General features: G+C 39.1%; 1 protein-coding gene across 5 annotated transcripts in view, besides 1 other annotated feature; it reads left to right on the top strand.

The window, feature by feature from the left end:
• Positions 1 to 23,487, top strand: part of FRMD4B (FERM domain containing 4B) — a 373,805-nt gene that overhangs the window by 18,149 nt on the left and 332,169 nt on the right. The window lies entirely within an intron of this gene.
• Positions 12,070 to 12,666: an enhancer, noted in NCBI's record as "OCT4-NANOG hESC enhancer chr3:69560923-69561519 (GRCh37/hg19 assembly coordinates)". NCBI's record gives its function as "activates a minimal SCP1, AML or CMV promoter by ChIP-STARR-seq in naive H9 embryonic stem cells {active_cell/tissue: H9 hESC(naive)}" and the evidence as "EXISTENCE:reporter gene assay evidence [ECO:0000049][PMID:30033119]".

Raw genomic sequence — 23,487 nt, 5'->3', positions numbered from 1 at the left:
TTAGTTAATTTGGAGTTAACTGAAAGATCACTGGAGATTGGAGTCAGGAAGATTTGGATTAAATCCTAACTCTGTGACTTAACAACTGGGTGACATAGAGTAAGAAACAAATCTAAACCTCTTCTGAGACTGATACATTTCCACATTTAATACTCCCAAGTGGGCCTCTAGGATAAGATGCTCAGCACAGTGATTGGCACATGGTCAACAATCAGTGAAAGATGGCTGTTACTGTTATTTGTATCATTATTAATTATTCATAATACTGAGCTGTTGCTGACCAAGTCAGGCAGGATTAGAAACTTTACATTTGTTATCTCTGAGGCCTAGAATTGGTTTTGCTATATTCTGGAAGGGTGGGGGGTCATCTATGGTAAATGAGCATATGTTCCTTCCTATACATACCTACCATGGTGGTGAGCATTTGCTTATTTTAGGTAAAGAATGCAATCCAGTTAGTTGGGGCAAAGGATATGTCTGATGATCAAGTGGACAGTCTCTGCTGGGTGGTGCCTTCTGATCCCTCACAGAGGGATTCCCTGGGTAGGGTGGTAAATGTGGCAAGTGAAGGTAAGGGAACCAACTGCTTAGGGAGGAACTGAATGTCTTCATTGTCAGCATTTTTTCCTGGCTCACCTGGGAAGCCACATCCTTAGTGTTTGTGGCCAACTACTAGTTGCCTGCCTGACATCCATTTCTCCCATTCTTGGTAACAGAACCCCAATCTTAGTTAGGGTGGTAGTGTGCTCTGCTTAAAACCACATTTCCCATCCTCTCACACTGCTAAATATGGCTCTGTGACACTTCTAGGAAGGGCTGTTGTTGGGAGCTGACTCAGGTGGGAGGCATAGTCTTTTGCCTTTCCAATTCCTCTTTCTGCTGTTTAGAACACAGATACCATGACCGGAGCTTCAGCAACCAATTTGCTACTTTGAAACCATACGGCATGGGCTCATGATGTCAGAATAGAAGAGGGAGGGTCTCGCTTCCACTGGAAATGGTACCCCACACCAATACCTGAGTGCTGCCCTAAGCTCCTCCCCTACCACCAGCCTTCCCCACCATTTCAGCTTTATGCGTGTGAATGGGCCTTAACCTTATTTTACATTGAGCTTTCCAATAGCTTTCAAGGCTTAAAGCCCTGTGCTAAAGGACTACTTAACCACTTCTGTCATCCTCTTATGAGGCTGGATTAATTTCTTCATCCTTTTTCAAATGCCTAGAGTCCAGCATCCCAGCAGAATAATCATACGATATGATCATTCTATCCATTGCCATTTTGGTGCTTAATTTTTCTCTAGTTGTTTTTTTTTTTTTCACTTGTTATTATATGGCCTCTCCAGGTGGTCAGAAAATTTTCTTTTAAATGCACTAACACTTCTTGTATTTTGCTTTTCTGAGTATGTGAATGGATTCCTGAAAATTTTTCCCTCAGAGGAGGAATCTTTAGAAAAGGCCTTAGAAAAATAACCTATGGAGTAACCTAGGGTTTGCAACCTCTTGATTATCTCTGTTGAATTAATAAGCTCGACACTCTGCTGGTTATTTAGCTATTGGTTCTCATCTCCAGGCCCACCTTGCTATGTGCTGGACTGTGATCCAGGGTCAAAGTCTGTAAGCAACATTTGCCAGGCTCCCTTATTAGCTGGCTTCTGATTAGGTTCTGTCATGGGAGGTGTTGGCTGGAGATGGGGGTGCAGAAGGTCAGGAGAAGGGATTATTTTTGCATCCGTTGCATGATTACATCCTTCCAACAGCAGAAGTCTCCAGTGGTGCTTTAGCTTGGACATGCATACTTGACTGGCAAGACGGACCCCAGTTTCAGATGACAAATAATGTCATCTGAAGCCTGATGGAATAGGCTATCACATGGCCCAATACTCACCAAACTCCACTTCTTTGCTTCCTGGGTGGCACACAGATTACATTGCTCAGCCTCTCTTGCTGGAGTATGGGGGAGGAGGAGGCTGCGTTCTGACCAATATGATGTGGATAGAAGTGTTAAATGTTTTTTCTATGCCTTGCCCATAGTAACTGCTTGCCCATAATAACTCACTACTTTCCTGACTTTTTGCCCTCATCTGACTTCTGGATAGAGAAGATCTAGGGCCTGATTCTAAGACCCCCAGGCTTGGCTGACTCACTAGAAAAAAAGTTATGAATCAAAATTTCTCTCCTCCCTCAAGCTGACCTGCATCAGATCTGGAAACGATGAGAAAGCAACCTTTGATGTGCTAGCCCACTGAGATATGGGAGGTGGTTTTGTGGACAGTAGCATGACTTACTAGATAGTATATGGGTAGATGTCTAAAATGGCAGTCTTTGACCCTAAGGCCTTACTGTATCCGAAGAATCTGAGTCAGAACATGTCTTAGAATAAAAAGCAAAGTAGTTAAAGCACCCATAAACATGTGTGGCCTTCACAACTTGCTAAAGGGTGCATTCATTGATTTATTCATTCAGGAAACATCGAATGTCTGCTATGTAACATGAATTGTGTGTGACCATGAGGACCATAAAAAACAGGTGATTGAGCAAGAGGGTGCAACGTGGGGAGGTAGTGTTACTTTGGATTAGCTGTTGTGGAAAGTTTGTCTTTGGAGCGACATTTCAGCTGAGACAGAAAGCTGAGAAAGACCCCGCCATGGGAATGTCTGCGGGGTGGGTATTCCTAGGAAGAGGGTATGGTGAGTGCAGAGGCCCAGAGGTAGGAACATGCTTGGTAGATTTTATGAGTAGAGAATGGGCCTGTGTGGCTGGAACATATTGAGTAGGGGAGGGAGTAGTGAGGCAAGATTAAATCAAAGATGGCCTTGTAGGCCATGGTTGAGCATTTGTATTTTGTTCTAAGTACAATGGGAAGTTAATGGAGTTTCTTAAGCAGAGAGGGGACATGATTTGACTCACACTTTAAAATAAAAGTCACATGGGATATTTACTAAGTTAGGAAATGATGAATGCAATTAGTAAGTTAGCTAGAAAGCTGCAACCATGCCTCAGTCAGGTGATGATGGTGGCTTGATCTAGGAAAAACATGCTTGGGGAGAAATCAATTAAGAAAGAGAGATACAGACTGAGGAAAGAGGCCAGGACTTCTGAGGACCAGAGAAACTAACACAAAGACCAATAGAAGAGACTGCCAAGAAGTTAATTTTGTTGTGAGACTCACTGAAGATTTCCTCAGAGGCAGAAGTCAAAGTACCTTCCTCAGTCGTAGGGCCTGGCCAGACCCCCATAGTGGGTGCACATCTGCTGTGTGGGAGGGACAGCAGCCCTGATGCAGGGTGGGGGACCATCTGGGGTCCCTCCTCACTGTCCCTGAGAGGATTAGGTAAGAGGCACAGAAAGCCAGTAGTGACTCCATCAAGCTACATGCAGAGAAACTCCCCATAAGATCCAGATAGGATTGGAAGTGCTAATTCCCAGAATAAAATCCAAACTCACTCCAGACAGAACTGAGGTTATTCTCATGGGAATATCTAGAGCAAAGTGAAAAATTTAGAGTACTAGAGACCTGAACAAGCCCATATGCATTTTCAAGTAGACCAGGGTAGATAAATAAGCCTTTCTAATATTCTGATGACCTTAATCCTTCCCTTTGGTCATTATTGATGTCAGCTTGTCTAAGAGCTTGGGTGCCTGTGGTTTATTCTGGGAAGAGATCTCAAGGAGCAGGAGCAAGGATTGGGAAGTGGCCACCAGACCTCAGTCCCACTGAGGATGCTTTGAGATGCTATGTAAAATGCACCTTAGAATTTTCTACCCACCAGGAAGAAAAAAAGAATATTTTTCCATGGGCTCTTGTCCCCTTTTGGCCAAGGGTTTCTTCTTGGGTGTTAGCTCCCTCACACTGAGTGGCTTCCAGCAGCCATCCCATGCCAAGCCCCAGGATAGAAAGAGAGAGACCTGTGGTATAGCTGAGGCAGGGAGTAGCCCAGAAGAGAGGTTGCAGGGTGCAGCCCAAGAGGTATCTGGTATACACCCCAAATCTCTTTTCTGTGATATATATATATATCACAGAAAAAATATATATATATTCCATCATATATATATATTCCATCATATATATATATTCCATCATATATATATTCCATCATATATATATATTCCATCATATATATATATTCCATCATATATATATATTCCATCATATATATATATTCCATCATATATATATATTCCATCATATATATATATTCCATCATATATATATTCCATCATATATATATATTCCATCATATATATATTCCATCATATATATATTCCATCATATATATATATTCCATCATATATATATTCCATCATATATATATTCCATCATATATATATAGTCCATTTTATATATATATATTCCATCATATATATATATTCCATCATATATATATATGGATGGAATATATATATATGATGGAATATATATATATATATATATATATATATGGAATACTACTCAGCCACAAAAAGGAATGAATTAATGGCATTCTCAGCAACCTGGACAAAATTGGAGACTATTATTCTAAGTGAAGTAACTCAGGAATGGAAAACCAAACATCGTATGTTCTCACTCATAAATGGGAGCTAAGCTATGAGGATGCAAAGGCATAAGAATTATACGGTAGACTTTGGGGACTCGGGAAAAGATGGGAGGGGGTGAGGGATAAAAGACTACAAATTGGTTTCAGTGTACACTGCTCGGGTGATGGGTGCACCAAAATCCCACAAATACCACTAAAGAACTTACTCATGTAACCAACTACCAACTGTTCCTCCCCAAAACCTATGGAAATAAAAACAAATAAAAATTAAAATGTGGGGTTTTGATTCTAGAAACATTAGGGAAGCTAACCAGAGAGGGAAAGGGTCTAGGTAGAGAAAATAGAAGATAGCAGCCAAAAAGCCAGCAGGCTCCCTGAGGCATGAGGAGGAATAGAGTATTGCCCATGGGAAGAAGTAAGAGGATGACTGCTTTCCAACAGGGGGATTCCTGGTTATTGGTCAGTGTTCTCTCTCTACCCACCTACCAGCTCCCGCCACACACACACAGATGCTGCTGCTCTATTCATATTGAATTTTGGATCCTTAGATATACCAGACTCCCTCTTGACAGAGGTCCTTTGCACAACCTAGCTTTCCCCTGCTCTCCCCAGCCATGCACACATTCACACTCCACTTGGCTAATTCCCACTCATCCCTGAGGACCCACATATCACTTTGTCTAATGGCTTGCCTTTACTTCCCAAACCTTGGTAATATGCACTGCCTTGATTAATACTTTTTGATTCTAAGAACCAGACACCCACTCAAAGGGGCTGAAGTTAAAAACAAACAAAGAAATGGAGGATACTGTTTCTCAGAATATAACCCACAGACTTCCATCATGATCACTGGGGTGCCTGTTAAACATCCCCATTCTTGTGCCATGCCCACACCTTCTCAACAGATTCTTCAGAGGGGAATCTGAGGTGTCAACACAGAAACAAGCTGCCTGGATGTTGCTTCTGCACGTTTGTATTTGAGAACCACTGCCCCCAGAAGAATCTCCCAGCACTCTTTGCAAAGAGTCCATCCAGGTCTCAGAGGAACCAGAACCTTATCAGGAATTGCCCTAGATCTGCAGGGGGCTGGTCTTGTTTCCCTGCTAGTCTCTTCAGCCTACCTTCCTTGGCTTGCACAGGGCTCAGTCCTAAACATTATAGCTCCCCACAGCTAACTCTAACTGGCTCACCTTCAAAATCCTTGTTCCAAACATGTTGGGTTGGTCTAGCTTGGTCAGGGGTCAATCTTTGCTCCAGCCAGCTGTGGCCCAGGGGTTGGAAGGGTAGATAACACCAGGTGTTACATTCTCTGCTACAATGTGGACCACAGAGTTCCTTAAGAAAAGGATAGTAGAAATAGAATACTGTCATTTCTAGTGCCAAATTCTATATGGTCTTGCCTTTTCTCTATTCTAACATTTACTATGTAATATTATAATTGGCAGTATACTTCTCAGTATTCACCATCAGAATGGGAGACATTTCCAGACAAGCTTAGCATCTTAGCCACCTTTATATTCCCAGAACTTAGCTTTACATTAAGAAGGGAAGAAGGGACTCGGTAAGTCATCACTGAATGATGATTGATCAGCTATGTCCAATGTATAAGAATACATTGTTTCTTTATTTTAAAAAATTTAAGATCATTTTTATTAAAGCATTATTCATATACAGTAAAGTATACCTACTTTAAGTATATAATTTGATGAAATTGACAAAGGCATACACATTGTAATCTCTGCACCAGTCAAGATAAAGAATATCTTTATCACCCCAAAAGTCTCCTATTTGCTAGGGGTCACTTTTTAATTATTCTAAGTTCGCTTAAAAAAGGAGTAGCCCAGAGCTCAGATTCCTGTGGTTCTCAAAGTATGACGTCTAAACCAGCAGCAGCAGCAGCAGCATCTCTTGGGGACTTGTTAGAAATGCAGATTCTTGAGTTTTACTCTCTACAGAATCAGAAACTCTGTGGTGCAGCCTAGCAAGCTGTTTTTGCAAACACTCCGGGTGATGTTCATGGACACTTAAGTATGAAAACGACTGCACTAGGCCAGCAGGGGTTTCTTATACCATGTGCAGCAGGAATGGAGCCAGATAGGTAACAGAGACATTTGAGGTTCCACACTTGAGCTGAAGGCAGTAAGGAGGCTCAAGGATGTTGTGAGCTGGAAAAGTGTTTTCTGAAGAAGAGGCTGGGTGGGGCATGCAGGGTGGATTTGAAAGCAGAAGATTGGAGTCAGGAAGCCCGGTTCTTTTCACAGCATGTCCCTGGAGGGTAGCATTGTCACTGTGCATTAATCCGTTATTTGGGGGCCTTTGATAGTTTTGGACTGCTTACACATGAAGCCTTTGAAAGGTCAATATCTTAAGGATGAGACTTAATGGTCAGGCAATTTTCCTTCCCTTTGGAAGGATTTGGGTTATATCTCTGATCCTAACACTACTTTCAGTTAAAATTTTTTTTTCTCTGTTCAATTATTTCTTAATCTTTATGATGTCTATTTATGTGACTGGTGCTCTTTTTTTCACAAGGTTGTTGGGCTGAACAAATCAATCTGACATAGGGTGGTATTTGGGCGAGCCATCACAGAGGAAAAAGTGGAATGAAGGGAGTATGTTGTACATATTGCATATTATTGAAAAAACAAGAAATATGCATTTACAGATTCTGGCTTCAGGAACAATGTCAGTTAGTGTATAAACTTTGGTGTCAATGGATTTTTTAAAAATGTTTAACAGAAAGTAGCATTAGTATCAGAGATATGACCTGAATCTTTCCAAAGGCAAGGTAAATTGTCTGACCATTAAATCTCATCCTTAAGATACTGCCCTTTCAAAGGCCTCATGTGTAAAGAGTCCAAAGCTATCAAAGGCCCCCAAATAATGGGTTAATGTGCAGTAACAATGCTACCCTCCAGAGGGAGGAGAGGTATGGAAGTATGTGAATGCTTCTGAGAGAAATATGGGCACAGCAAAGAGATGTTAAGAAAGGTTATCGAAAATTTGGGAATATAGCAAAAAGATGACTGTTCAACACACTGTTAGAGCTCTGTTCCATCAAGCCCACCCAGCAGTTTTCCAGCTCTCTAGGGAATAATAACTTTGTTTCACTGATGATTAATTATTGCTTAGAGACCAGATTCTATAGTGTTAAATGTTAACTCATAGAAAACTGATAAGATCCAATGACTTCTCTCTGGTAGAGATTGTATTAATTTCCTATTGCTACCATGACAAATTACCACAAGTTTAATGGTTTAATACAAGCGCAAATTTATTGCATTATAGCTCTGTAGCTCAGAAGTCCTTGCCAGGTTTCACCGGGCTAAAATCAAGATGTTGGCAGGGTTGCATTCCTTGTGGAAGTTCCAGGGGGAAAACCTGTTCCTTTGTGTTTTCTACTTTCTGGGAGCTGCCTATATTCCTTGGCTTTGGGCTCCTTTCTCCATTTTCAAAGTTGCAGTATAACATCTTCCAATCTCTTTTTGACTTTGACCCTCTTTCCTCCTTTCTCTTATTAGGATTCTTATTATTACATTGGGCTCACCTAAATAACATCCCCGTCTTAAGATCCTTAACTTCATCACATCTGCAACAAAACCTCTTTTGTCATGTAAATGATATATCTGCAGTTTCCAGAATTAAGGCATGGAAATATTTATTATTATTATTATTTTAGAGATAGGGTCTTGCTGTGTTGCCCACAGTAGAGTGCAGTAATGCCATCATTGCTCACCACAGCCTCAAACCCCTGGGTTGAAGCAATCTTCCTGCCTCAGCCTCCTGAGTAGTTGGGACTACAGGCATGCACCACCACACCTGGCTAATTTTTTAATTTTTTGTAGAGATGGAGTCTCTCTTTGTTGCCCAGGCTGGTCTTGAACTCCTAGCCCCAATGTTCCTCCTGCGTCACCCTCACAAAGCACAAGTATGAGCCACTGCAACCGGCCAAGACATGGCTATCTTTTGGGAGCAGTTATTCTGCTTAACCAAAGATGCAAATGATTTTGTTCATGAGAGATGTTAACTCCAAAAGTTATAGGTTTAATGCAGTGTATGACATTAACCAGCATTGCTTCTAATTTAGCAATCTTATTTCGGCGTTATATTTTCCATTTAGAAACTATATATGCGTCAGTTTCTTGTGTCTTCCTTTGAACTCTATCATCCTTCTGGTTTCTTTATTAATTAAATAAATCTTTAGATACATATTCTATATCTATTTCGTCATTATGTTTTTAATATTTTGATAATTATTTTTGGCCACAATGATGGGAATACATCAAAGGAACACAGGAGCCTAATGAAAGAGATCTCAATGGCCAAAGCTGCAACAGTTTGAGCAAGAAAGTAAATAAAATAGTATTGAATTATAACCCAAAGAATAAAATACCCATGAGTCCATACTGATACAAATGAAAGACCAAATACGTAAATAAATTGGGGAGAATAGACAAATTTCCCATGCAAAAGACTTCAAAATAATTGAAGATACTGCAGTCTTAAGAAGGTGGAGCATGACTTCTCATTCCTTTAGTCTGGTGATATGGTTTGAATCTGTGGCCCCACCCAAATCTCATGTGGAATTGTAATCCCCGACGTAGGAGGTGGTACCTGGTGGAAGACGATTGGATCATGGGGGTGGATGTCTCATGAATGGTTAGCACCAGCCCCTTGGTCCTGTTCTCGTGATAGTGAGTTCTTGAGAGATCTATCTCTTTAAAAGTGTGTTGCACCCCCTACCCCACCCAACTCTCTCTTGCTCCTGTTCCTGCCATGTAAGACACCTTTCCCCACTGAGTGATTTAGGCTCCTTGTTGAAGATCATTTGACCATATGTGTGAATGTTTGTTTCTGGGACCTCTACTCTATCCCATTGGTCTATTTGTATGTCTTTATGCCAGTACCACATAGCTTTGATTCTTGCAGTTTTATAATATGTTTTTAAATCAGGAAGTATGAGTCTTCCAACTTTGTTCATTTTTTTCAAAAGTATTTTGGCTATTCAGTGTCCCTTGAGAATCCATAGGAATTTTAGGATGGATTTTTCTATTTCTTCAAAAAATGCCATTGGGATTTTGACAGGGATTGTTTTGAATCTGTAGATCATTTTGGGTAACACGGACATCCTAACAGTATTAAGTTTTTCAATTCGTGAACACAGAATGTCTTTCCATTTATTTATTTATTTATTTATTTATTTATTTATTTATTTAAGATGGAGTCTTGCTCTGTCACCCAAGCTGGAATGCAATGGCATGATCTCAGCTCACTGTAACCTTTGTCTCCCAGGTTTAAGTGATTCTCCTGCCTCAGCCTCCTGAGTAGCTGGGACAACAGGTGCCCACCACCACGTCTGGCTAAGTTTTATATTTTTAGTAGAGAGGCTTTCACCCCATTGGCCAGGCTGGTCTTGAAATCTTGACCTCAAGTGTTCTACCTGCCTTGGCCTCCCAAAGTGTTGGGATTACAGGCATGAGCCACTGAACTTGGCCTATTTCTTTATTTTTTTTTCAGCAATGTTTTGTAGTTCTCAGTGTACAACTCTTTCACCTCCTTGCTTAGCTTATTCTTAAATATTTTATTCTTTTTGATGCCATGGTAAATGAAATTGTTTCCCTAATTTCCTTTTCAAATTGTTCATTGTAAGTGTATAGAAATGCAGCTGATTTCTTATATCGATTTTGTATCCTGCAATCTTGCTGAAGTTGTTCATTAATTCTAACAGATTCTTTGGTGGAATCTTTAGGTTTATCTACATATAAGATTTGTCATCTGTGATCAGAGACCATTTTACTTCCTTCTTTCCAATTTGGATGCCTTTTATTTCTTTTTCTTGCCTAATTGCTCTGGCTTGGACTTTCAATACTATGTTGAAAAGAACTGGCAAAAGCTGGGATCCTTGTTTTGTTCCTGATCTTAGAGGAAATGCTTTGTCTTTCACCATTGAGTATTATGTTAGCTGTGGATTTTTCATATATGGCCTTAATTATGTTGAAGTAGTTTCCTTTTATTTCTAATTTGTTGACTATTTTTATCATAAAAGGGTGTTTAATCTTTTCATGTACTTTTTCTGCATTGATTGAGTTGATTCCATGGTTTTTGTCCTTTATTCTGTTAATGTAATATACAGTAGTAATTTATAAATTGGTTGTTTTTTTCATGTTGAACTATCTTTGTATTCCAGAAATAAATCTCACTTGGTTGCCCTATATAATCCTTTTAGTATGCTGTTGAATTTTGTTTGTTAGGATTTTGTTGAAGTTTTTTCATCATTATTTTTTAGGGATATTGGTCAGTAGTTTTCTTGTAGCATCTTTGGCTTTGGTATTAAGGTAATGCTGGCCTCATAAAATAAGTTTGGATGTGTTTACTGTTCTTCAGTGTTTTTGGAAGAGTTTGGGGAGGATTGGTGTTATTCTTTTTCAAATGTTTGGCAGAATTCTCCAGTGAAGCCATCTGGTCCTGGGCTTTTCTTTGTTGGGAGGTTTTAGATTACTGATTGAATCTGCTTATTAGTTACGGGTCTGTTCAGATTTTGTATTTCTTCATGATTCAGTCTTGATAGGTTGTGTGTTTCTAGGAATTCTTATGTTTCTTCTACATTATCCAATCTGTTGGTATACAATTGTTCATTGTATTCTCTTATAATCCCTTTTATTTCTACAACATTGCTTCTAACATCTCTTTCCTTTCTAATTCTAGTTTTTTGAGTGTTCTCTTTTTTTCTTAGTTCATCTAAGAACTTATCAAATTTGTTGATTTTTTTCAAAATACTCAGTTTCATTGACTCTTTTTCTATAAATTTTCTACTCTCTATTTTGTTTATCTCTGCTCTAATCTTTATTATTTCCTTCCTTTGGTTAGCTTTGCATTTAATTTGTTCTTATTTTCCTAGTTCTTTGAGTTATAAAGTTAGGTTGTTGATATGAGATCAGTCTTCTTTTTTAATATATGCATTTACAGCTACAAACTCTCCTCTTATGACTGCTTTCACTGCATGTCATAAATTTTGGTGTGTAATATTTTGATTTTCACTTATCTCAGTATATTTTTAAATTTCCCTTGTGATGTCTTTTTTGACCCATTGGTTGCTTACCTTTTATCCTTTTAATGATGGAACATTCCTCCAAGTTTTATTTGGGCGGGAAGATGCACAGTTAGAGACTACTTTCCCTAGCTTACTTTGCAATCAGCTGTGTTCATGTGTCTGAGTTTGGGCCAGTAGGATCCTCTTTCTCCCTTCCCCTATTCTCGTTGACTAGGAAATGAGGAAATAATAATATCTGGAGCAACCACGTTGGAAGCCATGTTTGAAAAATGGCAGAGCTCACCCATCATCATGGATCCCTGGGTAACTCTATAGAGCAGAACTATCCACCTGCCCTAGATTCTCTGCTTCTCTTTAGACCATTATGTAAAAAGAAAAAATACAGATTTATTTCAATTAAACCATTGTATTTTCAGGGTCTCTTTGTTATAGTAGCTTAGCCTGTACTATATGAATACTTTAGCTTTACCAAAAGTGCTACATTAACCCAAGAAATTATGCGGTTAACCCAAGAAAGTGTTGGCTTTCTTCTTTGTTTGCCTTCCTTATTAAGATATTAAAACCAAATAAGTAAATAAATTATTATGAAAGCATTAAGTAGGGCCCAAGTCTATGTATGTAGGGTTTTTCCTCTTAACTCCAGCCCCGTGCAGTGCCTCACTATGGTGAGCCAGAGTAGATGCTTTTCTTGTTCCTCTTCTTTTTATCTGGTCCTTGCTTACCTCTGCAGCTTCTTCTCTCTCTTGCTTTGTATTCTAGGCAAAGAACATAAATCTCTCTTCTTTATTCTTTTGTCCTGTGACAGAGGATCTTTGACATGCTAATTTCTGTATGTGGAATGTTCATTGCCTCCTCTTAGCATCATTGCTTTCTACTTGTACTCATCTCATTTATTGCCCCCTCCAGGATGTCTTCGCTGATCCCTCAGACTAGGTTGTACTCCTCTCTTCTAAGTTGTATATAGTCCAGGTCCTCTGAGAAGCATGTCCAAGGGACATACGAGGGAAAACACCTGTGCAGGATACAGTGCAGGGGTAAGTGGGGTAAGAATAGGCAGGGAGAGCCTTCAGACCACAAATGCAGGTCTGATCCTTGAGAAAGGAGAAGGGGAAGGAAGAAGGAATGGATAGGAAGAGTCTCAGACTCTACTCAGCTCTAAGAACACTTCAGTGATGCCAGTGGGGTGTTCTTAGCCCAAGATGCACGTTAGACAAGTTCTGCGTCTGATAGGAATGGGAGCCATTGGCTGGGGGTGGCCTGAAGGATCTAGAGGAGCGACAGCTGGGGCTGTCAGTCAGGTATGCTCCCTGCAGTTGGAGAGTTGTGTTTCCATGGCCACCACATGTGCCCACTGCATCCTGTGTTTTTAATTATACATGCATGTGTGATTATATAGGCATGGTATTCTTCTTGCTGCTTCCCGTCTGTACTCTAAGCTCCATGTAGGCAGGGACTATGTGTGTTTTGCCTAGGTATCCTCAGGGCCTAGCATAGTGGCTGGCACATTTTAAACAAAGGCAACCTGAACATTAAAAAAATTATAAATTCTTTTTCAGTTTAAAAAGATTTTTAAAAAACTTATCCAACATGGTTTTAAAGAGGATTTGCCTTAGGGAAAAAAAATGAAATGCAAAATAAATAGATTCTGCAGTGATGCTTATACAACTACTGGGACCATGAACCTGAAGATCTGTATTTGATAAAATTTAATGCAGTAAATGTCCTTATGGCAGTTGATCAGGGCGACATATCTAATCTCAACAAAATGTTAACCCCAAGAATGCATTAAACATACTTGGAAAAATGGTGTTTGTTCTGAGAAATCTTTATGAGCTTAATAAAGTACTCTATTTATAAATGACCCCACATGTAAATAAAATGCTCTATTGGTCTGCAAGGAAAAAATGGTTAGATTTATTGGTCAACTATAAGAATGTAAATTATTCTCCCATGCTCACTGCTTTGAAGTTAGGCAGAGAGGAAGTGTCAGAATGTTCTGAAGTATGAGAAAAGGTCAGGCATGAAAACTGGGCATGATGACAGAACTGCATGAGAATGCTTGTTGTGCCCTGTATGTGGACTTGTTAGTGTAAATGTGGGTGGTCTGGAAATTATAGAGTAGTGTATGGGAGTTTAGGGCTGCAAGTAGTATTAGTAAGTGTGAGCCTGCCTGCTGTGGTCATCAACACCTTTGGCTTGCTTGTTGCCTGGCCTGTTAGAGCTCTGTAGCCCTAAACGTGTAAATTTTGATCTACAAGTATACTCATGGGCTGAGCTCCTTTCCTTGCAGAGTGCATGAAAACTGAGAATTTGAAAGTTAAATTGCTTTTATCCTTGATTTATAATTTCAGAAACACCCGAACTTCGTCTAAGTTCTTTCTCCCCAAGTGGAAACTGCTTTATTGTTTTGTCTGATAATAAAAGTAATACAAAGGCAATTCATTATCAAGGAGAAGAATAAAACGTCTATGAATCATCACCATAAGATAAATTGCTTAATAGTTTTTATATAGACTTCTGGACTGACTTCATTTCTCATCTTTATTTGGCTACTGCTTCTGACACTATTGTTTTATGTTACAATATTTTCATCTCTCTAATTTTTTGTGGAGTTTGAGCTAATAACAAAAATCGCTATTATTACTATCAGTTTACTATATACTAAGTATTCTATAGGGATTATGTAATTTAATCCCAGAACCCTGTCTTAAAGTAGACAAAATTGTTCTGGACGAATATTCAGGAGGAAACAGAGACCTTGGGAGGCACAAGCATACCTTGTAGATACTGCAGGTTCAGTTCCAGACCACCTCAATAAAGTGAGTGTTAAATATTGCAATCAAGCACGTCACATGATTTTTTGATTTCCCAGTGCATGTAGAAGCTCTGTTTATACTCCATAGTAGAGTGTAAACAGAACTTTTATATGTACTGGGAAATCAAAAAATCATGTGACTTGCTTGATTGCAATATTTGATACTCGCTTTAGTATCAAATTTTACTAAAATTTTAGTAAAATTACTAAAATGTGACCCAGTGACATAAAGTGAGTACATGCTGTTGGAAAAATGGCACCAATAGATTTGCTTGATATAGGGTTGCCATAAACCTTCAGTTTGTAAAAAACACAACAAAACAAAAAATTAATATCTGTGAAGTGCAATAAAATGACATATGACTCTACAAGGTTTCTGAGATTTTCCAGCAGTAGATGAGTTTATACAGCTGCAGAAGGCAAATGCAATTGAACAGATGCCCTCAGGACTAGAATCAAATTTAGACCCACGTTTCTGAGAACTCTTTCATCAAATGCTTCTTTAGAGGTCTGAAGACACCCTGATAGTCAAGATTTACTTAATGACTCACTTCCAGCACCTTGAGAAAGGGGAAATTGATAACTTGTCATACTTGATTCTGTGTGCCCCTAACTAGATGACCATTTCTACATATTACAACATGGCGGGAGGGAACAGCTAGCTTTTGCAAAAATTCCTAAGGGAAAATTCTGATGAATGTTTCTGTTGGAATTTGGCAACAGACTTGCCCGTTCAACTGGCCTCAAGTGAAGACGTAGAGTTAGATGGCACTGCAAGCGATCGCTTCCGTTCCAGGGGAGGTAATAAAATGGTCAGAATCTCTCCTTCCTTGAAACCATCACCTGTGTCATAGAGCTTGCTTCACCGTCTGGCCTGGAGAGATGTCATTCTGGAGCAGGGCTGCTCAAATGTAGAACAAACCCCACTGCTGCAGAAGCCTGTGAACAGTGATCATCCATGTATCACTTGACATAGCTAGATGGGAGCAGAGACAAAACTTCTGGCCTCAACAGGTGATTACATGTATTTGGGTTTAAAAGAATTCAAGACCTAGTCTAGAGAATAAGGTTTTAAAACAATGGGTTCGAATTCTAGCTCTACAACATTCTAGCTGTGTGGTCTTGAGATTGTCCTGTGCTCTAGATTCCTTGTCTATGAAATGGAGACAACAGCAGTACCCACCTTGTAGGTGGTTGTAAGGATCCACCTCATAGGTTGTTGTGCCTGACCCAGAGTGATGGCACTTTATGATGAAAGGTGGCTATAATATGTTGCTCTGTACTGTCCCAAACGAGGACCAGATAATGCAACCTATTCTTAAATCACCTGATATTTTAAAATTTCCCTTGTGATTTCTTCTTTGGCCCATTGGTTGCTTACCTTTTATCCTTTTAATGGTAGAATATTCCTCCAAGCTTTATCTGGGCAGGTGGATGACCAATTAGAGACTACTTTCCCTAGCCTACTTTGTAGTCAGCTGTGTTCATATATCTAAGTTTGGGCTAGGAGGATGCTTTCTTTCTCCCTTCCCCTATTCTCATTGACTAGGAAATAAAGAAATAATAGCTGGAGCAACCACGTTGGAAGCCATGTAATTTGTCCCAACAGTAATTTGTCCTCAAGGAAATTTTCCCAGCCTGTTATGCGATTGAAACCTGTTGATAAAATTGATATTTTTAAAAGTGGAAGACATCATCAGTAAAGCTGTTGAACAAAATATAGGAGCACTTCTTTCTATCAAGTTCTGTTGTTGAATTCCAACTAGATATTAACCTCGTTTAATAAAATAAAAGTTTTTATTTTTTTCTTATGTAAAATGTTACCCTTTATTATGTTATTTTTTGCCATTCAGGAAACAAAAAAGAAGAGGGAGAAATATGTTCAGGAGAAAGAACAACTTTTAATATTTAGAGTCAATGAAATGCTGTTTGGCAGAAACTAAATGCAGTACAAGATAGTGAGGAAGCAAAACTATTGCTTCTGAACCAGGGTGAATAAAGCAGTTACTTTTTCAGTTAAGAATCAAAGGTTATCCATGTGGGAAATCCCTGTTCTTAGAGATTTCATGCCTTAAGTTCCATATGGCCTTGCGTAGGAACATGCATATAACCCGAAACCTCTTTACCTCTAAAAGAAATAGGATTTTTTAAAAACCTTAATTTTTCTTACCTCTGAAAAAAAAACCTATTTTTCCCTCTATTTTAAACAGACTCTGACAATTTTTTTTAGGGCTTAGTTCTGTAAACTCTAAATTCTTCTCTGTCTCTGGATCAAGCCAGACCATCAGAAGGCTGCAAACCTGGGCCATTTTTGACCTCACAGAATCATATTATGTTATGATGCCCCTTTCTAAAAATCAAAATCTGATACAAGAAACACCATGGTGCAAAGAAAAATGTACAAGGGTACCCCCTACAGCACTGTTTGTAGCAGTAAAAGATTAGAAATATTCTAAATATCCATCAATATGGTACTGGTTAAACATATTTAACACATCTATACCGTAAAATACTATGTAGGTATTAAAAAAGTGACACAGCCTTATATATATGGATATGGACTGATTTCTAACATCTATTAAGTAAAAATACAAGGTACAGAACAATATATATACTGTGACTCAAAACTGAAACACACACACACACACAAACTTACACATATACACACATACATACGTGCATGCATGGTTGCATATGCCTAAAATATCTTAGAACTTGAAATCAATAGTTGTTTCTTAAGAGAGAATTTTAGAGGCAAAGGTTGAAGAGAGATGGACCTTTCACTGAATAACTCTGGATACTCAAAATTTACTGTCTGTATATACTGCCTATTTAAAAATCAAACCAAAAATGAATGGCCATTAAGAAGTTCATTCTGCTTGTGTGTGTCACAAAAAACAGCTCCATTAAAGGCTAATTGGTGTTCCACAAAAATAGTATTGATTCTTCGCCCATCTTGGGGCTTCAGAATACACATCCCTATATTAGAATCTCTATGAAGGTCCACACTCAAGAATCCTGTACAATTTAATTTAACAAAATTTATTGATCATATGACCCACCCAATTTTTGGTGGGACATTTTCTCTGAAATTAACACCTTGGAAAGTACAGCACTGCAGCATTTATATTAAAATAAATCGTCACCGCAGTGTGCACTGTCTCCAGCTGAGAGGCAGGAATTTAACAGTAGGATGCCAGGTACTGTAGCTCACCCCGTAATCTCAGCAGATTAGGAGGCCAAGGCAGGAGAATTGTTTGAGTTCAGGAGTTCAGGATCAGCCTGGGCAACATAGTGAGACCCCACCTCTACCCACCCCCCCCAAAAAAATTAGCTGTAGCTGGGTGTGGTGGCCCCCGCCTATAGTCCCAGACTCAGGAGGCTGAGGCAGGAGGATTGCTTGAGCCAGGGAGGTCGAGGCTGCAGTGAGCAATGATGTTGCCAGTGCACTCCAGCCTGGGTGGTAAAACGAGATCCTGTCTCAAAAAGAAAAAAAAAAAGAATTTAGCAGTAGAGTTACCTTTATTTACTCTGAGGAATTAATACACTTCCTAAGTACATTCATAAGAAGTCTGTATTTAATAAGATTTTTTTTTTTTTACACTTGGGTTCCAGGATGCACAGCACAACTATGCCTCCACTTTCTCATCCTTAGAATGGGCATAACAGCACCTACTTTGTGGGTGGTTGTTATGTTGAAATTGGATATCCTGTGTAAAATGCCTCCCCTAATTGACATGTAAGAGAATTCCAACACTTATGAGTCCCCGCCAGTCTTCTCAACATAAATGCGTGTTGTTCTGAAGAGGAAGTGGGGTGAAGATCAGGGCCAATCCATCAGCACCACGGATAATAACATTAAGGGCCTTGGGGTTGCAGTGGATGGTCTTTGTACAAAGAATGGAGTATTTTTAACCACCTTTGTTGCTTGTGACCAGAAAGGTCAGTGGAGGAAGCGTGTCCAGGGGTGAAGGTGAGGGCACCATAAGCCATCCTATTCACCAGCATTCAGCGAATATTTTTCAGGCGTTGGAAAGATTAAACGCAGCTGTAAATGAGGCAGCTCTCTTATCTACTGTTAGTTGGTTGCTGCAGAGACCATTCTATTTGTAAACATTATCCAGGATTCACACTGACTAAGGCTTAAGCCTGGTGTTTACCCACCAGCTGCCTTCCCCACAGGATCCTTTCATATAATAAAGAAAATGTGTGAGTAGATTTCACCCAGGAGGCCACCCCAAGAGTTTAACAGCTATGTTGGATTAAAATCCACAGCATGTAGAAAACAAATTTTCACTTCCTTCAAATTCTTAAGAAGGAGAAAGTCAGTTTATCTGTAACATGTTGTAAATAAATAAGATTATGAGCCTAATGATACTTGGCTTCTTAGGTGCTATGAAACCTTGGGTCAAAATTTTACTGAATAAGAAATTATTTTTCTGGATATTAACCACTTTCAAGAGGTTGATAGTAGAAACACCTACTTACAAGGACAAAGTGAGATGCTTTAAAGAGACTATCTGCCACTTACAAGTCTTACAAGCTGACTTTCATTAATGTCACACTTAAGGGGGCTTCCAGTTGAAAATGGTAAAGAATGATACAAGTAAATACTGTTTATTTCCTTTTGTTTCCTTTTTCTTTTTGTTTTTTGTTTTTGAGATAGGGTCTTGCTCTGTCATCCAGACTGGAGGGCAGTGGTGCGATCATAGCTCACTGTAACCTCGAACTCCTGGGTTCAAGTGATCCTCCTACCTCAACCTCCTGGGTAGTTGGGACTACAGGCATGTGCTACCATGCCCAGCTTATTTTTTTTATTTTTAATTTTTTGTAGAGATGGGGTCTTCCTATCTTGCCCAGGCTGGTCTCTAACTCCAGGCCTCAAGCAATCCTCTGGTCTCAGCCTCCCAAAATGCTGGGATTATAGGCATAAGCCACTTATGCTGGCCACTATTTGTTTCCTTTGGGAGTGTCCTTGTCCATCAGAGTCTCTGATATCCAAAAGAGGATAGAATCCCTGGGGATGTTGCTTTAGAAGATTAAAAATTGCAAATATCTCCAGGCATCACAAGGAAGAGATTAGAAAAGTTTTGTAGTTGATAGGATGAAGAGCAGTGACCCTTCAAATGAGAAAGGAAGCAGTGTGCTCAAGTGAGAAATAAAGCTTTAATTGAAAGTGTCTAATATCCAAAAGTTTAGAAATTATGTGTATCATCTTTCACCTAGCATTTTCATGTCTAGGAATATATTCAAAGGAACCAACTAAGATGTGTGCAAAGATTAACCTATAAGATTATTCATCTTGGAAACAACCCAAATATCCATTACTGATGAATGGATAAATAAAATGTGGTATATCTGTTCCATGGAATATTCAGCAATAAAAAGGAATGAAGTGTTGGTAGATCTATAATGTGGATGAGCCTCACAAACATTAACTGAAAGAGGCCAGACACAAAAGACCACATATTTTGTGATCCCATTTATATGAAATGCCCAGAATAGGCAAATCTACAGAAACATCATGTACATTGGAGGTCGCCTGGGTCTGGGAGGGGTGGTTTGGGGATGACTACACTCGGTGTAGGTTTCTTTTAGGAATGACAAAAATGTTCCAAACTTAGATTGTGGTGATGGTTGCACAACTCTGAATACACTAAAAACCATTGAATTGTACACTTTAAGTGGGTGAATTTTATGAGGTGTAAAGTATATCCCAATGAAGCTGTTAAAAAAAGTATTCATCCCGGGGTTACTTAAAATGAAAAAATATTGGAAAAAATATAAATGACCAACAATAGGGCTGGGTAAATAAATTATTCTGAGCCTATAAGATGTTATACTTTACTGCCATTAAAAAGAGACCCACCACAGAATGTACAGTATGATCCAATTATGCAAAATATGTGTGTGTATAAGCTTTAGAAGAAGGTCTCAAAAAAACATATGCCAATATTATTTTACAGTGATTGTATATGATCCTGTAGGAGTATGGACAATTTTTGTTTTTTTCTCTTTCCTGGTTTTAATACAATGACCATTCCTTTTATGACAATAATCGCATGTAACATTGTATTGAGTACTGATGTGCTGGGCTAAGTGTTTGACTGGATGTAGTGCATTTAGTCCTCCAACAACCAGGATACTAGTAACTGTTATCATTTTACAGATGAGGACAGTGAGGCTGTAATGGGTGAATTTACTCAAGGTAGTGCAGTGGGATGGTCTGCCCGGTAACAAATACTAACTGTTTAGCTGGTGATCTCCAAAGTGGGAAGTATATACCCTGATGGAAGCATGCATGATGGGGCATGGAGAAGCATATTCAAAGTTTATGTCTCTATTTGTTTTTATTATACTTTAAGTTCTAGGGTACATGTGCACAACGTGCAGGATTGTTACATATGAATACATGTGCCATATTAGTGTGCTGCACCCATTAACTCTTCATTTACATTAGGTGTATCTCCTAATGCTATCCCTCCCCCCTCCCCCCACCCCACAACAGGCCACAGTGTGTGATGTTCCCCTTCCTGTGTCCAAGTGTTCTCCTTGTTCAGTTCCCTCCTATCAGTGAGAACATGCAGTGTTTGGTTTTTTGTCCTTGTGATAGTTTGCTGAGAATGATGGTTTCCAGCTTCATCCATGTCCCTACAAAGGACATGAACTCATCCTTCTTTATGGCTGCATAGTATTCCATGGTATATATGTGCCACATTTTCTTAATCCAGTCTATCATTGATGGACATTTGAGTTGGTTCCAAGTCTTTGCTATTGTGAATAGTGCTGCAATAAACATAGGTGTGCATATGTCTTTATAGCAGCATGATTTATAATCCTTTGGGTATATACCCAGTAATGGGATGGCTGGGTCAAATGGTATTTCTAGCTCTAGATCCTTGAGGAATCGCCACACTGACTTCCACAATGGTTGAACTAGTTTACAGTCCCACCAACAGTGTCAAAGTGTTCCTATTTCTCCATATCCTCTCCAGCATCTGTTGTTTCCTGACTTTTTAATGATCGCTATTCTAACTGGTATGAGATGCTGTCTCATTGTGGTTTTGATTTGCATTTTTCTGATGGCCAGTGATGATGAGCATTTTTTCATGTGTCTGTTGGCTGCATAAATGTCTTCTCTTGAGAAGTGTCTGTTCATATCCTTTGCCCACTTTTTGATGGGGTTGTTTGTTTGTTTCTTGTAAATTTGTTTGAGTTCTTTGTAGATTCTGGATATTAGCCCTTTGTCAGATGAGTAGGTTGTGAAAATTTTCTCCCATTCTGTAAGTTGCCTGTTCACTCCGATGGTAGTTTTTTTTTTGCTGTGCAGAAGCTCTTTAGTTTAATTAGACCCCATTTGTCAATTTTGGCTTTTGTTGCCATTGCTTTTGGTGTTTTAGACATGAAGTCCTTGCCGATGCCTATGTCCTGAATGGTATTGCCTAGGTTTTCTTCTAGGGTTTTTATGGTTTTAGTTCTAACATTTAAGTCTTTAATCCATCTTGAATTAATTTTTGTATAAGGTGTAAGAAAGGGATCCAGTTTCAGCTTTCTACATATGGCTAGCCAGTTTTCCCAGCACCATTTATTAAATAGGGAATCCTTTCCCCATTGCTTGTTTTTGTCAGGTTTGTCAAAGATCAGATGGCTGTAGATGTGTGGTATTATTTCTGAGGGCTCTGTTCTGTTCCATTGGTCTATATCTCTGTTTTGGTACCACTATTATGCTGTTTTGGTTACTGTAGCCTTGTAGTATAGTTTGAAGTCAGGTAGTGTGATGCCTCCAGCTTTGTTCTTTTGGGTTAGGATTGACTTGGCAATGCAGGCTCTTTTTTGATTCCATATGAACTTTAAAGTAGCTTTTTCCAATTCTGTGAAGAAAGTCATTGGTAGCTTGATGGGGATGGCATTGAATCTATAAATTACCTTGGGCAGTATGGCCATTTTCACGATATTGATTCTTCCTACCCATGAGCATGAAATGTTCTTCCATTTGTTTGTGTCTTCTTATATTTCATTGAGTGGTGGTTTGTAGTTCTCCCTGAAGAGGTCCTTCATATCCCTTGTAAGTTGGATTCCTAGGTATTTTATTCTCTTTGAAGCAATTGTGAACGGGAATTCACTCATGATTTGGCTCTCTGTTTGTCTGTTTTTGGTGTATAAGAATACTTGTGATTTTTGCACATTGATTTTGTATCCTGAGACTTTGCTGAAGTTGCTTATCAGCTTAAGGCGATTTTGGGCTGAGACAGTGGGGTTTTCTAGATATACAATCATGTCATCTGCAAACAGGGACAATTTGACTTCCTCTTTTCCTAATTGAATACCCTTTATTTCTTTCTCCTGCCTGATTTCCCTGGCCAGGACTTCCAACACTATGTTGAATAGGAGTGGTGAGAGAGGGCATCCCTGTCTTGTGCCAGTTGTCAAAGGGAATGCTTCCAGTTTTTGCCCATTCAGTGTGATATTACCTCAGCCTTATAAAACTTCTGTGTTGAGCTATGTTTTATACTATAATGTACCACATATTCTGCTTGCCTCATGTCAGGCACTGTCCTAAGGCCTCTGCAGATGTTCATTTAATTCTTACAACAATGCTATGAAGAAGCTGAGCTACAGAATCCATGCCCTTACCTAGTGTGTTATACTGTACACTGTATATTAATATGGTAATACATATATGCCATATACCAGGGATGTCTAATCTTTGACTTCCCTGAGCCACACTGGAAGAATTGTCTTGGGCCACACATAAAATATACTAACGCTAAGGATAGCTGATTAGCTAAAAAAAAAAAAAAAAAAAAAGAAGGTCCATGCATAAACCTTATAGTGTTTTAGGAAAGTTTACAAATTTGTGTTGGGCTGTATTCAAAGCCATCCTGGGCCACTGGTTGGACAAGCTTGCCATATACAATTTATACATTAATAAATATGCAAATTTTGGATTGCCTGATTTTTAAATTTTTTTACTGATAGGATATATCACCAAACATATAATTGTGTCTTAAACTACACCACACTGCTTCCAGGATAATATTTTAAAAATACAAAGTTGGCCTTCTTTTTTGGTAGGAGGGGCGTGT

Source organism: Homo sapiens, chromosome 3 (assembly GCF_000001405.40).
Source record: "Homo sapiens chromosome 3, GRCh38.p14 Primary Assembly".
NCBI classification, from domain to species: Eukaryota; Metazoa; Chordata; class Mammalia; order Primates; family Hominidae; genus Homo; species Homo sapiens.
This window is presented reverse-complemented; position numbering and strand designations above follow the sequence as displayed.